At 36.0% G+C, this 13303-nt stretch overlaps 1 protein-coding gene across 9 annotated transcripts in view; it reads right to left on the bottom strand.

The window, feature by feature from the left end:
* Window positions 1-13303, bottom strand: part of ANKRD30B (ankyrin repeat domain 30B) — a 192964-nt gene that overhangs the window by 118211 nt on the left and 61450 nt on the right. For 7 of the 9 annotated variants that reach the window (XR_007066151.1, XR_007066152.1, XR_935057.3 and 4 more), the window contains exons 27-32: window positions 12911-12939; window positions 12745-12817; window positions 9760-9821; window positions 8214-8304; window positions 414-442; window positions 248-320 (exon numbers count right to left, since the gene is read on the bottom strand). Coding sequence is in view for 4 of the 9 variants with exons in the window: in NM_001367607.2 (NP_001354536.1) it covers window positions 248-320; window positions 414-442; window positions 8214-8304; window positions 9760-9821; window positions 12745-12817; window positions 12911-12939 (357 nt within the window). In the remaining 5 variants the exon portion in view is untranslated. Of the gene's footprint in view, window positions 1-247; window positions 321-413; window positions 443-5833; window positions 6568-8213; window positions 8305-9759; window positions 9822-12744; window positions 12818-12910; window positions 12940-13303 lie in introns of those variants that run through there. The other 2 variants (XM_011525666.3, NR_160272.1) reach the window with 2 other exon arrangements.

The raw sequence follows: 13303 nt of genomic DNA, 5'->3' as shown, positions 1-13303 counted from the left end.
AAACTTTATAGTATCAGGATATTAAAGAAGAACCACATGAGGTACAGTAGAATTTTTTTTAAATCTCTAAATCTTACGCTTGTAAATGGCATTTTCTCAAACATGAATACTAACATTGGCATTATTTGTGTCAAATTTTCCCATCCAATTTTGAAAAGAAAACAACATTGGGAATAAAAAGGCTCTTGGCACTTCAAATATTTTAATGTTCTTAATTCCACAGTAAAATTAAAATTACAAAATTTACCTGCTTTGAATGTTTCTCTGTCCTTCAATTCTAAGGCTTTATTTGGAAGAGAAATTTTCATTCCACAGGTAGGCTAAATGGGTTTGGAAACACAATAATTACTATATAATGTATACTTCATAAAATAAGTAGTTAATATTCAAGATAAAAATATAAAAGTTATTACCTTCAGAAGACCATCTTTATCAGGAGACTCTAAAAGAAAAGGGACATATATAATTGATTATACGCAAGCCTGTCAAAGTCTACCAAACATTCATGCAGTGTGAATATGAAGATGAATCCTCATGCTTGGATTGAAAAGAGATTACACTAGGTTTTGGGGTCTTTTGGGTTATTGTGTTTGTTAACATGCCAGAGTGACAGAAATATACCTAAGAAAATTTAAAAAATAAATTTCCTCAAACATGCTGTGAAGATTTCAACAGTCAAAATATATTTCAAGTGACATTAACTAAAGCAGAAAATCCTAATACCAGTAAGAGTAAGCTGCCATATAAGGAAAGAGGTTGAATTTAGTAAGATGACCAAGACATGACCCCTCCACCAAAAATAAATAAATAAATGTCCAAGCTAATGGTAGAATGCTATGACATATTATTAAAGAAACACATCAGAATCACTTATGTCAATATACTACAAGTAGCTATTATGTTCTTCAATTTGTCCTGTAATTTAAGAATTGCAAAGCTCCGATGAGAATTCAAAGGTACAATTTACTTATCATTGCAGAGAATGTTCTAAATTCAACAGCATAAATATCTACTTATAGAATGAAAGTTTATAAATATATTTATTTTTGAACCTCTGTGAAATACGAGTATTTTTATATTTCTGGGGTTCTGTAGTTTAGTCTTCTTAAAATTTCCTGATCCACTTATACAGAAAAGTCAAAGCATACCCATCAACAAACTAATACAGTCCAGGTGCCATGGCTCATGCCTGTAACTCCAGAACCTTGGAAGCCTGAAGAGGGCGGATCTCTCGAGTCCAGGAGTTCCAAAGCAGCCTGGCCAAAATAGCGAAACCCTGTCTCCACAAAAAATACAAAAATCATCCAGGTATGGTGGCACATGCCTGTAACCCCAGCTACTTGGGAGCCGGAGCTGTGAGAATCACTTGAACCCAGGAGGCGGAGGTGGCAGTGAGTCAAGATCGTGCCACTGCGCTCCAGCCTGGATGACAGAGTGAGACTCTGTCTCAACAAAAGAAAAAACACCCTAACATCACAATTAAAAGAACTAGAAAAGCAAGAACAAACACATTCAAAAGCTAGTAGAAGGCAAGAAATAACTAAAATCAGAGCAGAACTGAAGGAAATAGAGACACAAAAAACCGTTCAAAAAATTAATGAATCCAGGAGCTGGTTTTTTGAAAGGATCAACAAAATTGATAGACCGCTAGCAAGACTAATAAAGAAAAAAAGGGAGAAGAATCAAATAGATGCAATAAAAAATGATAAAGGGGATATCACCACCGATCCCACAGAAATACAAACTACCATCAGAGAATACTACAAACACCTCTACGCAAATAAACTAGAAAATCTAGAATAAATAGATAAATTCCTCGATACACACACTCTCCCAAGACTAAACCAGGAAGAAGTTGAATCTCTGAATAGAACAATAACAGGATCTGAAATTGTGGCAATAATCAATAGTTTACCAACCAAAAAGAGTCCAGGACCAGATGGATTCACAGCCGAATTCTACCAGTGGTACAAGGAGGAACTGGTACCATTCCTTCTGAAACTATTCCAATCAATAGAAAAAGAGGGAATCCTCCCTAACTCATTTTATGAGGCCAGCATCATTCTGATACCAAAGCCGGGCAGAGACACAACAGAAAAAGAGAATTTTAGACCAATATCCTTGATGAACATTGATGCAAAAATCCTCAATAAAATACTGGCAAAATGAATCCAGCAGCACATCAAAAAGCTTATCCACCATGATCAAGTGGGCTTCATCCCTGGGATGCAAGGCTGGTTCAATATATGCAAATCAATAAATGTAATCCAGCATATAAACAGAGCCAAAGACAAAAAACACATGATTATCTCAATAGATGCAGAAAAAGCCTTTGACAAAATTCAACAACCCTTCATGCTAAAAACACTCAATAAATTAGGTATTGATGGGATGTATCTCAAAATAATAAGAGCTATCTATGACAAACCCACAGCCAATATCATACTGAATGGGCAAAAACTGGAAGCATTCCCTTTGAAAACTGGCACAATACAGGGATGCCCTCTCTCACCACTCCTGTTCAACATAGTGTTGGAAGTTCTGGCCAGGGCAATGAGGCAGGAGAAGGAAATAAAGGGTATTTAATTAGGAAAAGAGGAAGTCAAATTGTCCCTCTTTGCAAACGACATGATTGTATATCTAGAAAACCCCATTGTCTCAACCCAAAATCTCCTTAAGCTGATAAGCAAATTCAGCAAAGTCTCAGGATACAAAATCAATGTACAAAAATCACAAGCATTCTTATACACCAATAACAGACAAACAGAGAGCCAAATCATGAGTGAACTCCCATTCACAATTGCTTCAAAGAGAATAAAATAAATAGGAATCCAACTTACAAGGGATGTGAAGGACCTCTTCAAGGAGAACTACAAACCACTGCTCAATGAAATAAAAGAGGATAAAACAAATGGAAGAACATTCCATGCTCATGGGTAGGAAGAATCAATATCGTGAAAATGGCCATACTGCCCAAGGTTATTTACAGATTCAATGCCATCCCCATCAAGCTACCAATGACTTTCTTCACAGAATTGGAAAAAACTACTTTAAAGTTCATATGGAACCAAAAATGAGCCCGTGTCGCCAAGTCAATCCTAAGCCAAAAGAACAAAGCTGGAGGCATCACAGTACCTGACTTCAAACTATACTACAAGGCTACAGTAACCAAAACAGCATGGTACTGGTACCGAAACAGAGATATAGATCAATGGAACAGAACAGAGCCCTCAGAAATAACGCCACATATCTACAACTATCTGATCTTTGACAAACCTGAGAAAAACAAGCAATGGGGAAAGGATTCCCTATTTAATAAATGGTGCTGGGAAAACTGGCGAGCCATATGTAGAAAGCTGAAACTGGATCCCTTCCTTACACCTTATACAAAAAGTAATTCAAGATGGATTAAAGACTTAAACGTTAGACCTAAAACCATAAAAACCCTAGAAGAAAACCTAGGCATTACCATTCAGGACATAGGCATGGGCAAGGACTTCATGTCTAAAACACCAAAAGCAATGGCAACAAAAGACAAAATTGACAAATGGGATCTAATTAAACTAAAGAGCTTCTGCACAGCAAAGGAAACTACCATCAGAGTGAACAGGCAACCTACAGAATGGGAGAAAATTTTCGCAACCTACTCATCTGACAAAGGGCTAATATCCAGAATCTACAATGAACTCAAACAAATTTACAAGAAAAAAACAAACAACCCCATCAAAAAGTGGGCGAAGGACATGAACAGACACTTCTCAAAAGAAGACATTTATGCAGCCAAAAAACACATGAAAAAATGCTCATCATCACTGGCCATCAGAGAAATGCAAATCAAAACCACTATGAGATACCATCTCACACCAGTTAGAATGGCAATCATTAAAAAGTCAGAAAACCACAGGTGCTGGAGAGGATGTGGAGAAATAGGAACACTTTGACACTGTTGGTGGGACTGTAAACTAGTTCAACCATTGTGGAAGTCAGTGTGGCGATTCCTCAGGGATCTAGAACTGGAAATACCATTTGACCCAGCCATCCCATTACTGGGTATATACCCAAAGGACTATAAATCATGCTGCTATAACGACACATGCACACGTATGTTTATTGCAGCATTATTCACAATAGCAAAGACTTGGAACCAACCCAAATATCCAACAATGATAGACTGGATTAAGAAAATGTGGCACATATACACCATGGAATTCTATGCAGCCATAAAAAATGATGAGTTCATGTCCTTTGTAGGGACATGGATGAAACTGGAAATCATCATTCTCAGTAAACTATCACAAGAACAAGAAACCAAACACCGCATATTCTCACTAATAGGTGGGAAATGAACAATGAGAACACATGGACACAGGAAGGGGAACATCACACTCTGGGGACTGTTGTAGGGTGGGGGGAGGGGGGAGGGATAGCATTAGGAGATATACCTAATGGTAGATGACGAGTTGGTGGGTGCAGCGCACCAGCATGGCACATGTATACATATGTAACTAACCTGCACAATGTGCACATGTACCCTAAAACTTAAAGTATAATTAAAAAAAAGAAAAAACACCTAATATGAAAGTATCAAAAATTAGAAGTCAATTTCCAGAGAATTTTTATATATCATTAACCTGCATATTTCAATGTTAGAATAATGGTTACTGAAAATAACAGTTTTATTATTTTGTTGCTAAAACTAATTCTGTTTGTTATACAATGCGAGTTGCTAAAACACTGTTATGAAAAAGCTCTTATAAAAAACTTAGCTTCAAGAAAAAACAGACATTTCTTTGACATAGAAATATATCTCCTTTCATCAAATAATATGAATAAAACATGCTTAATCTCTCATTTTTCTCTACTTTTTATTTCTCAGTACAACATACTTTAATATATTTAGACATATCAAGTATATATGCTGTTTCCCTTCAGAGATGATTGATCAATAATGAAGACACTTCAGGGATATAAACTCTCTAAAACACAAAAAATTTATGTCCAAGCATTTTAAGGCTAAATACATGACCATATTGCAGGTAGGTGTTTTATAAAAAAAGTGCTTAAAATTGTATTCAACACACTTTAAATAAAAACCTGCTTTAATTATGATGAGAAGGTCATTCTCGATTCATTAATATCTTTAAACTTTACTTCTGAAGCACTGAAGAAACCTCAGAATTTCATATATAATGATACCATTAATACATCTGTTTGTTTTAGGTAAAAATATGATAAATGTACATCCTCACTAAGTGCAAAGAAAGCAGAGTGTCATGAGATAGGAAATGAATATGTAACCAAAATATTTTCCTTTATGAAGAAAATAGCTGGCTTTGACCTTTCTAAGACAAGATAAAAAAGCAAAACATGCAGAGATGAAACATTCAGAGCTATCTCATCATCAACGAACCGTTTATCACTTGGCATTTAGGAATCCTATGTATGGTTGAAAACTCTGGTTCTAAATTGTGATCTGATTACCCCTGAAGTTCAAAATCCATGCAGAGGAAGGAAGCAGGGGAATACTGCCTTTGTTATTTTTTTATTACTTTTATTTTTATAAAGGTGTACACTGGAGTTTTTTAGAGTCAGGACAGGTCACATGGCATGGCTCTAAAGATTAGTGAGCCACATTTGTAATGGCTATTGAAATGTATGGCTGTGAATCCTTGCATTTTAATTACTTCACTTTTAATTTCTAATATAGCATGAAGTAAGACATACACTTAAACAAAACCTTGTTGACATCTGTAATTATATTTATGTTGCTTTTGAGTCATCATGAAGAGAGTCTAATTAAACGTAGTGCAAAGTAAAAATGCACAGTCAGAAATGTTTTCTTTATTTTTTATTTTAATATTATACTTTAAGTTTTAGGGTACATGTGCACAATGTGCAGGTTCCCATTAACTCGTCATTTAGCATTAGGTATATCTCCTAATGCTATCCCTCCTCCAACCCCACAACAGTCCCCGGAGTGTGATGTTCCCCTTCCTGTGTCCATGTGTTCTCATTGTTCAATTCACACCTATGAGTGAGAACACGCAGTGTTTGGTTTTTTGTCCTTGCGAGAGTTTGCTGAGAATGATGGTTTCCAGTTTCATTCATGTCCCTACAAAGGACATGAACTTATCATTTTTTATGGCTGCGTAGTGTTCCATGGTGTATATGTGCCATACTTTCTTAATCCAGTCTAGCGTTGTTGGACATTTGGTTTGGTTCCAAGTCTTTGCTGTTGTGAATAGTGCCACAATAAATAAATTCTTTTTTTTTTTTTTTTTTCACAGAGTCTGGCCCTGTCACCCAGGCTGGAGTGTAGGTGCATGATCTTGGCTCACTGCAATCTCTGCCTCATGGGTTCTCACATTCTCCTGCCTCAGCCTCCCGAGTAGCTGGGACTAGAGGCACCCACCACCATGCTTGGCTAATTTTTTGTATTTTTTCATAGAGACGGGGTTTCACCATGTTAGCCAGGATGGTCTCGATCTGCTGACCTCGTGATCCGCATGCCTCTGCCTCCCAAAGGGCTGGGATTACAGGCGTGAACCACAGTGCCCGGCCTGAAATCTTGAAATAAATGAAAAACGAGCTAATCGCTGAACAAAAAAATAAAAAATCACTGTGGAATGACAAGAACATTCTACAAACATTTATATGTGATTTTTGCAAAAAGTGTTAATGCCAATGTGTATATGCTGAGTGATGAGGAGATAAGTGATCCTGAATCAGAGGAGCAAATCGTGACACTGAGAAAATAAATGCAAAAGCTGAACGTAGAATGCTATACCATGTGTCTTTAATGCAACACATTATAATAATTTATATCATTACATTACAAATATTCACCATGTTCTTTAATATGTCCTGTCACTGAGAAGGTAAAAAGTTTGGATGAGAGTTCAGCTGAATGTAGAACTGACATCTCAGCAGTGAAAGTGTTATGAATTGATCAGCTTGGATATATACTTAGAGAATAATACTAAATATAAATATCCACTAATTTTCACACCCATATGGCATAACGGTATGCCAACATTTTTGTACTTTGTAGCTTAGCCATCTCAATATTCCTTGATCCACTCATGGAGGAAGATGTACAAAACTCATCAGGAATAGCAAATATAATAAGCTTTCAATATTGACATATTTGTTTTAAATTTAGTTGCAACAGACTTATTAAATATTAATAACATTTTCTATGTTAAAATCACTATAATACCTATGAATAAGAACAATTTAGGTATTCAAGCAATAAATTCAGAATTTTCTTTCTTCTTCTCTGGCTAAAAACATACTCAAAAGTAAGAGCAACATAACGCTTTCTCCTAACCTTTTCTGTCTTGACCCTTTATCCAATTACTCTTCTTCCACATTTCTCCCATGAAAGGCCTCTCCTTTTGACCCTCTATCCAATTACTCTTCTTCCACATTTTTCCCATGAAAGGCCTCTCCTCTTGCTACTCAGTCTGAGGTCCAAGGACCACCAGCATCAGCATCGCCTGACAACTTACTAAAAATGCAGAATCCCTAGTCGGCTGAATCACAGTGTGAATTGTTAACAAGGTTTTCAGACGGTTTTCTAAAGTTTGAAAACTTACGGTCTATACGGAGTGTATATGACAAATTATATACATGTGTGGCCGTGCATATATGCTTATTCTCAACTATTGCAAATAGAACACAGCTCTCCATGGTCAGCTGCTTCCATCCCTAATGGCTTCCCACCAGTGAGAAAGACAGGAAGAGTCAGAATATTTTTGCTGTAATTCTCTGGTATGTTTTGGCACTGGAAAGTCACTTTATATTCTTCCCAAATTTCTAACCATACCCGATCTTTTCCTAAAGAATCATTTCATTTTACCATCCTCCATTATATAAACCTGCCTCTTGTTCCTTCCCGTCCTCTCTGTACTCTCTGTCTTTCTCGATCTTCATTTCCTCTTTTACTACTTTCTCCTTTCTTATTTTCTCATTTTCCTCAGCTCTTGGAATACCTTGAATTCAAACTAATAATTCAGTTCCTTTCCAGCACTCTCTATGTAGTCTGCTGCCAACACATGATAAGACGTATAACTTATCACCATTTCACTTCTCTTTTTTTCCATGCTTTGCATTCAGGAGGTAATTTTCTTCAGCTATTAGGGGATATCCCTCCTCATCAGTTCAGAGAAACATTTGGTCAAATGACTTTTTAAATAAAATATGGTTCTTACCTTCTAATTTTCCACTTAAGGTATCGAATTCTTTTTGATGTGTAGCCTTGGGTAAACACCCATCATTCTGTAAGAGAGCCTCAAGGAAACTCTGTTAAAAGTAATATCAATAAATAATTTCAATGGAGAAATCCCAATAATGAAGAGTATCAAAAGTTCCTAATTAAAATCTTTTCTAAAAACACAGTTTCCTACTTTATAAGGAATTCGACTTAAGAGCAGACATGTGTTGAAACCCAAAACATTCTGATAGAAAACCTCACATAACACTCTCCACATCAACTTACCTTTACGTTCATGAGGCTATTAACTTGGTTACTGAGCAGGAAAAACAAATCACACTCACGAAAGAATTCACTCGTGCATATTTCAGAAAGTAACTCTCTTAAAAATATCTAACTTGTGTTGTAGTCCTCATTAAAAGTAAATACGCCATTTCAAACAAAATACAATACACTTGCTACTAGCCATAACACGTACTGCATTAAACATTTAAAATATTCATGATCATAGATTGTTTAGTGTTAAAAATGATGCATGCCGTGAAGAGAACTTTTAGAGTCTGTCATATAATGCATGCACGGAATGTTTAAAAAGTTGCTTTATTTTGGTAAACAGGGGCTTAAAACAAGCAACATGTTTTTGACAAAATTTATGCTGATAGAAAAAGTGCTTGAAGAGAATGTAAATGCAGTAAGAAAAGAAATTATGTCATGTCTAAATGAAAGCCAACAAATATTAAAGTCTTTTTGTCTGACGACAAATCAGATAAAATCTACTTGTCTACTGACTTCCACCCTTTGCTCTTACCACCAGGCAGCAGCTGCTTGTTTCTAAGAGGTCAGATATTTTCTATGTCTTTCCACAGTTGTGACCTTAAAATACATCACTATTATTTCACACTCATGCTGCTGCAGCTTGACTGCCTGCCACAAAGGGACTCGAGGAGTTCTACTTGTGAAAATAATTTATATTTTTCAAAAGATTACTCAACCAATACTCTTGTTACTGTAGTCCCACAAGGTTTCCTAGTCCTCATGCTCCTCTTTCTCCTGAAATGTTCCCTCAGATCTATACTGAACAATACAGAAATGTCAATACATTCAAGTCCCAGGCATTAACTTTTCAGGTCCCAACTTTTACAATACTGCAGTTTAAACTGTCTCTCTACGAATCCAGTTAGAACTTTTGCACATCTAGATACACCACAGAATCATAAATTTGCCCACAGCTGGACTCAGTGTAATTCTTTTGCTTTTAGACAAACTTGCTTCAGATCCCATGTGAATTTCTAGTGACTTCTAAGCCTTATTTTTTACACTATACCACACCGGCTTCTTAAATTAAGCCTGAAAATTAGCAGAATTTCACTACGAAGCAGTCATCTACTTAGCACATAGATCCTCTATTAAGCGTATTCTGAAAAATATCAAAAATAATTTGGGAGTGACATATGCAGAGGTGAGAAAATAAAGTCTAAGCCTCTGCTTTTATGTTTTTGTATCATGCAATACTAGTATTAAAGAAAATTAATAATACACAGTACCTCAAAATCCCAAGAATTTTCTTCATCATCCTTTTGTTTGGATTCTGATGGGAACATCTGAGCTATAAAAGGTTAATCACAGATACATTCATGAGAACATTTCTCTACTATAAACTTTAAAAACATATATAAATCTACTTTCATTCACGAATCTGCGGTTTTTCCTCTGTAGCCCGTATATTCTTTTTGTTGATTACAATCACTACTTCTATAGTCAATCCGTTAGAAATGAAATCTAAAAAAACGGAAAATTAACATTATATCATTCGTTAGAATGCAGAAAAATAGAAATTTGACTAACTCGTAGAGTTATTTCTTCACAAAGCAGTTACATCCTCTTCTCCCGTGAAACACAGTGTGTCCTATACTTGCTGTTCATTCAGAAAACTTTAATTACCTATCATCTCTCACTTCTTTGTAAATTTTTATTTTCTAGTATTACTTAGTTTGATTGACTCTGCAATCTCTATTACACAGTTCTTCAAAAAAGATGATTTATCAACGAACAAGATTTTTTAGGGATATTAACTTTCTGATGTTAGTAAACTATATGTCCAACACTTTTACATTTCAATATGCCATGACAGTATATTGGGTGTGTTTTGGGTGTCTATATGTTTTAGGAAGATAAGCTTAAAAAACTTTTATTGCATATAAATTAAGAACTGCTTTAATTACAATGACATAGTTCTCCCCTAACTCAACAATGTCTTCAGAGTCAGCTTGTGACAACTAGGAGAAACATCAGAAATGTATAGGAAAAAATAATTGCCCTAAGTAATCTCACATCCCCACATGTTATAGGATAAAATCAAGGCCCACACAAGACTTGAGGAGCTCTCAGGCCAATGAGACAGAAAATGAATTTATACCAAAAATAACGTTCAGCTTTGTTTATCAACCAAAAGTACACATTACAACTCTTTGAATCAGGTTAAAGAAAAAAGCAAACATGCACGACTAAAGCCTAAAAGACTGTATCATCGTTAAAGGTACGTTTATCATTTGACATCCATCAACTGTGTATCTGGTTTTTAAAAGTAAATTTAACATGTAATCTCAGCATCCCTAAAGTTCACATTTCATGCAGAGGGACCAAGAAACTAAAATCATACTTTGGTATGCCACCATTTTCACTCATGTTTAGAAGTGTACCCTGGATCGTTTCAGAGATCTAATGTGTTGCAGTAGCATAGCTCTAATAATCTGTGGGTCGCAGTTGGAATTGTTAGTGGAATGTATGATTGCACAAGGAAATACTTTAAATATTTTAGTTTTAATTTCTCACAACTAAAAAGTCAGTAGATATAACTAACTTAAAGACTCTGAAATTTTCATGTTTTCATTTTTATTTATCAGCATAATAATTGTGTACTTAATGGAATTTTATAAACAATCTGACATTTAAAAAGACAGTTAATTGTGTCCTTTATGGACGTCTCTAAAAATTATAATGCTGATCAAAACAGAATGTTGTCAAAAATTACACTGTACAACCACCTATGCATTAGAAGTTGAAAAAAATTTTATGTATTAAATATGACCACGTACACATGTTGGAAAATGTTTAAACATGCATAAGAATACTTTTAAAAAGTAGTTTAGAATATTGGTTACTTCTAGGCAATAAATGGTACTAGTGTAAAAAGACTCTGGGCCGGGCGCGGTGGCTCACGCCTCTAATCCCAGCACTTTAGGAGGCCGAGGTGGGTGGATTACAAGGTCAGCAGGTCAAGACCATCCTGGCTAACATGGTGAAACCCCGTTTCTACTAAAAATACAAAGAATGAGCCAGGCGTTGTGGTGGGCGCCTGGATTCCCAGCTACTTGGGAGGCCCAGGCAGGAGAATGGCGTGAAGCCGGGAGGTGGAGCTTGCAGTGCGCCAAGATCACACCACTGCTCTCCAGCCTGGGCGAGACAACGAGATGGGCGAGACAGCGAGACGCCATATCAAAATTTAAAAAAAAAAGAAAATTTAAGACGTCAAAACAAATTCTACACATAGTCAGAACCACACACATATGTTGTGAATTTATGGTTGTTTGTTTGCTTTTTGAGATGGAGTCTCACTCTGTCACTCAGGCTAAAGTGGCACAAGCTTGGCTCACTGCAACTTCTGCCTCATGGGTTCAAGCAATTCTCCTGCCTCAGCCTCCAGAATAGCTGAGATTACGGGCACCCACCACCACAACCGGCTATTGTTTGTTATTTTTAGTAGCGATGGGGTTTCACTGTGTTGACCAGGCTCGTCTGCGACTCCTGACCTTAAGTAATCTGCCCACCTTGGTCTCCTAAATTGCCAGGATTACAGGCATGTGCCACCATGCACAGCCTGTTGTAACATGATTTAAACATGCATGGGAATGACAACAAAAATTAATTCAGGCTGTTTTGTACCTCTAGGCAATTAATTACAGTAGCATAAAAAGACACCAAGGCCAAAAGCTTTAGAGTCACACTTCTAAAACAGTGTGTCTAGCAAAGAGTCATCAAGTAGTGATTTTTAAAAATTATATGTCACACACACACACACACTCAGTCACCTAATCAGAAAAACAAGAAACTGATTTTCTTTAGATTCTCAGAATGACAACACTCACAACTGTCACGTCAGCAAGTGAAACTTTCCTCAAAGTAAAGATCAGAATTCCAGTCAGCATTTGAACCACTGAAAATATTTCACAGTTTCAAAATTCACCTGCCGTAAAACTGAGCACGTACAGAAATTGCAAATTGGAAACTTTACACTATCGGGATATTAAAGAAGAACCACATGACGTAAAGCAGAATTTTTTTCTAAATCCCTAATTCTTATGCTTCTAAATGGCATTTTCTCAAACATAAATACTAACATTTGCATTATTTGTATCAAATTTTCCCATCAAATTTTCAAAAGAAAACAACTTTGGGAATAAAAGGCTCTCAGCATTTCAAATAGTTTAATATTCTTAATTCCAGAGTAAAATTTAAATTACAAAGTTTACCTGCTTTTAATGTTTCTCTGTCCTTTAATTCTAAGGCTTTATTTGGAAGAGAAACTTTCCTTACACAGGTAGGCTAAATGGGTTTGGAAACACAAAAATTAATAGATAATGTATACTTCATAAAATATGTAGGTAATATTCAAGATAAAAATATAAAAGTTATTACCTTCAGAAGACCATCTTTATCAGGAGACTCTAAAAGAAAAGGGACATATATAATTGATTATATGCAAGCCTGACAAAGCCTACCAAATGTTCATAGAGTGTGAATATGAAGATGAATCCTCATGCTTGGATTGAAAAGGGATTACACTAGGTTTTGGGGTCTTTTGGGTTATTGTATTTGTTAACATGTCAACTGTAGGAAGACTCCCTGAAACTATTGCTATGGAATGAAAGATGCAATGCTCCTGATTATTGTAAAACAAAATTGCATGCAGGATTGTGTAAAGACAATGCCAGGTTGGACTGCCAGAATGAGCCAACAGCGCGTGATGTGTTTCCCCCTGCAGAGAGCCTGTGAATGGACGTGCAGTCAGGGAGGTTTTGCATCACCAAG

This window comes from Homo sapiens, chromosome 18 (assembly GCF_000001405.40).
Source record: "Homo sapiens chromosome 18, GRCh38.p14 Primary Assembly".
NCBI classification, from domain to species: Eukaryota; Metazoa; Chordata; class Mammalia; order Primates; family Hominidae; genus Homo; species Homo sapiens.
The sequence above is the reverse complement of the archived record's forward strand: the minus strand, read 5'-3'. Positions and strand labels throughout refer to the sequence as shown.